The sequence below is a fragment of the Homo sapiens genome, chromosome 7, assembly GCF_000001405.40.
Source record: "Homo sapiens chromosome 7, GRCh38.p14 Primary Assembly".
NCBI classification, from domain to species: domain Eukaryota; kingdom Metazoa; phylum Chordata; class Mammalia; order Primates; family Hominidae; genus Homo; species Homo sapiens.
The window spans coordinates 83202596-83206292 of NC_000007.14; the positions used below are offsets into that span (position 1 = coordinate 83202596).

General features: G+C 34.3%; 1 annotated feature.

The window, feature by feature from the left end:
• Positions 2033-2655: an enhancer, noted in NCBI's record as "OCT4-NANOG hESC enhancer chr7:82833944-82834566 (GRCh37/hg19 assembly coordinates)". NCBI's record gives its function as "activates a minimal SCP1, AML or CMV promoter by ChIP-STARR-seq in primed H9 embryonic stem cells {active_cell/tissue: H9 hESC(primed)}" and the evidence as "EXISTENCE:reporter gene assay evidence [ECO:0000049][PMID:30033119]".

Here is a 3697-nt window from a genome sequence, read left to right on the forward strand (position 1 = left end):
GGGGTAGCATATGCCAGCTAAAGTGCTTTGTTAAAACTCTCTTTTACTTTCACATCTGTTCCTTTATCTTTTCATTAATATTTAGAGACAACATATACTATTCATTATTAGAATGCTCACAATAAACTTTAACAATATTTGAATTATGACACATAGGTAAAGAAAGTTTCATTCTCTACTATCTGACCCTTATGATTAGTTTATGGACTATAACCAGACCACCACAAAGACAAAATAAAAAATTATATGTAAGAACAAATATATGGAATAAAAAGCATAATATTTATTAGTGTAATTGTAGTTGTACTCTCACAGAAGGAAAGCATTAGTTAAGGTACAGAAATAATAAAAAAGAAGAACAGTTGGTATAATTTTGAGATTGCTTTTAGTTTTGATTTTGCCTTGTTTTGCTTTAATACAAAAAGGTATTAAATACTAATAAGCAACATCTTATTTTGTTCACTTTAATTTTAATATCAAGATCACTGTATTCCTATCATATTTTCATTCTGATCTCTCACTATTTTCCAACAGTGATTCAAGTGTGACTGATCCATTTGCCGTTCCCTAAAATCACTTTTTTCTTTCCTGTCTCTATACTTTGTTTACAGCTCATCTTCACCGAGAGACCTGTAACACCTATTGAAATCCACCCACTTACCTTTCATGTCCAGAGCTACCCAAGCTGCTTCTGATCCACACAGATAAAATATATCACCCTTCACAGCTAATATTAACTCTTTGGTTCAGGAAATGTGTGCCCTCCTAAATTTAAAACTCTTTGGACATAACTGTAATTTCCTTTAATAACCACTATCTCTTTTCTAATGACTGCTTCTTATCTATCACGTCCTTCCAGTTTTTGAACTTATTTTGTTCATATTTGGTAGTACCAACTTGAGCAAATCTTTAGAGAAGGCCCAAACATAGCACAGTACCAGCAACCATAGACATCTAAAAATGTATTTATTGTTCCCTCATATTTAAATGAGAATTTGCCTGAATAATGAACTCTGAGTTCTTCTTTTACCTGTCTTTTGAGATTTTGAAAACATACTTCATTTTCTTCTTGTGTCTATTATGAAAGATAAGATGTCTGAAGTCCACCTGTTTTTTGAACTTCTTTATAAATAAGTTGTAGAAGGTTTTGTTTTAGGGGTTGCAATACTTTTCCAGGGTCTGTATAAGTGCTGGTCTTTTCTTAGTTATTTTGCTCAATCCAAAGAGTTCCTTTCCGTCTGAAGAAGGATGTTTTTCTTCAAGTCAAGGAGACCTTCTTTTCTTATTTGTTTGATTTTCTGCTCTCTTATCTTTTTATCTGTTTCCACCAATATCTCTTTTTAGGAAGATATGGCAAGTTCTTTCATTTCCTAAAATTTTTAGAGCACCTTCTTGACTCATCTTTGGGTTATTCGTTTGGCCTATCATTATTTAAATCTAATATCCAGCCCTTTCATTGATTAAAAAAAACTTTTCGATCTATTTTGAACAGTTCTCAAACTTTTTGTTGTTTTCTGATTGCTTCTTTTTATAGAAGCTTGATTTTGTTTTCGGATGCAGCATCCTCTATAATCCTTCTGAGGACATCCATCAGAATTTTTTTTTCTTTTGTTCCCTAAATTATCTGTTCTCTTCCTTGTCATTTGTTCTGATTAAGCCTTCTATTTCATGCTGTTAATTTTCCTAAATTGTGCTGATCTTTGGTTTCCTAGACATACATTTAGGTGGCCAGCAAAGATTTTCTCAGCAGTTGTGTCATCTGTCTCTCACAAAAGCATCCTTCTCAGTGGGAGGGTTAATAAAGCTGAATTATTTTTTATCTCCAGAGCTTCATCTTTCTGCATCAAAAATCCTGTCAAACTTTTCCTGGGCACTTTCTAGAATGGGTGTAACTAGTCCCTATATGACCCAGTCTCTAAGTGCACATATTTTCTCTCTTTTCAAAACTGTATGCAAAAAGCTCTTAACTACTTGATTAAACTCCCACTGTGTTTTTTCTTTCCTTTTTGTTCTCATAAGAATATAAACGCAATTTTCCCCTTCCTAATTTTCTCTCTTTCTTTCCAAGGCCTTGCTGACCTTACTTATTTCATTGAATTCATTGCCTTTCTACATTATATTTCAGCTAAGTAACCCATTTTCTTCTCCTTTTGAAGAATTGAACTTCATCTGGCACTTCTAGTCAATTCTGATCACTCTACAATCTTTGTAACTTGCTCTCCTGTCTTTCTGTTGCTCACCATGCGGATGACTCAAATATCTGTCAGTGGTCAAAGATCTGGGAGGAGATCTGGGAGGTATAGTTAAATGGTGTCCTTTGTCTAAACCCATTTACCTGAAATGGGAGACTCACTGAACAGTGTACCTGCTGGGCTATTTCTTTGACTAGAGAAGAATGTATTCTCATTGATTTTCTCTTCCTCAAACCTTTTCTCCATGTCTTCATTCACCACTTCTCTTTTTCAAGGCTGCGTCCATTACCATCCCCTTCTCTTTGAAATCTTTGGATCTCCAAATGGGAATTGCCTACCTTTTTCTGCTGCTGTATAAAGGGAGGCAGCAGAAATATGTAGGAGAGGAGAAAGCAAATCAGGGTAAGCAGGAGGGACTTTGTGACTTTAGATAAGAGAGAAAATATTTTGCAAATATTAAATATTTGATTTCGTTTTGCCCTCAAAACGTATTCTTTTGCAGCCTTCTGAATTCAAGTCCTAATCCCATAGTGTATTACGCAGGAAGAAATAGAAAGGTAAATCCTAGAAGAAAGAAGCCACTTGTCAGGATTGAGTCCTGAGGCTGAATTTCTTCACATCTTTAGCATGACAATGATTATCAATGCTAGAAACACTTATAAAGAAATAAGTTTCTAAATTACTTTAGATGCTAGCATATTGATATTTGAGGTCTCTCTTACTCTAACCACAGCAGAGATCTCAGGAGATTCAGATAATTCCAATGTTAATTCAATGACCTTCTTAATCTCTCTTTTATTGCATGGTTACATAAACTCCTACTCCATGTACATTGATACCGTCTAGAGAGGAGCATGAGAGCGCCGTACCTGGGACATATTTGAGCACATCCCTGAGACATCCAAGCAGAGGATGAATTACCTGAAAAGACTATTTAAATTATGATATATGCAATTACTTATTTATACATTTAATTATCTATATTTATTATTGATAAATATTATTTTATATGTCTTATTTTTATTTACTGAGAATTTACTATGCGCTCAGTAAATATATTAGAAATAGAGTGACAAAACAGAATAATGAATCCCCATTCTTATGGAGCTTTTATTCTACAAAAATTATTGGATCACAATAAGTTCACCAACATTGGACCAAACATTTATTTTCTGAACACTGTGACTTTTTTTGTTTTTTTTGTGTAAAGTCTTTGGTAGTTCCCTGGCCCTTTTAGCACCTTTGCATCTTCTTCATAGAGCACAGGAGCAATTTAGAGTCCTTTATATGTGAGGCAACACAAAGGATCATATTGTCAAATCCAAGTGACACACAAGTCAGATATATTACCCAGTGTCTAACTTTCCTAAACAATGTCAAAAATACAAGTAAGTATCCAGATGAAGAAGGAAAATGTCTGGATACACCAGGTCCCAGGTCCTAGGTGCTTCCTTCACAGATCGGTCATGCTCTATGACCAAGAAAAATACATGAGATCTTTAATG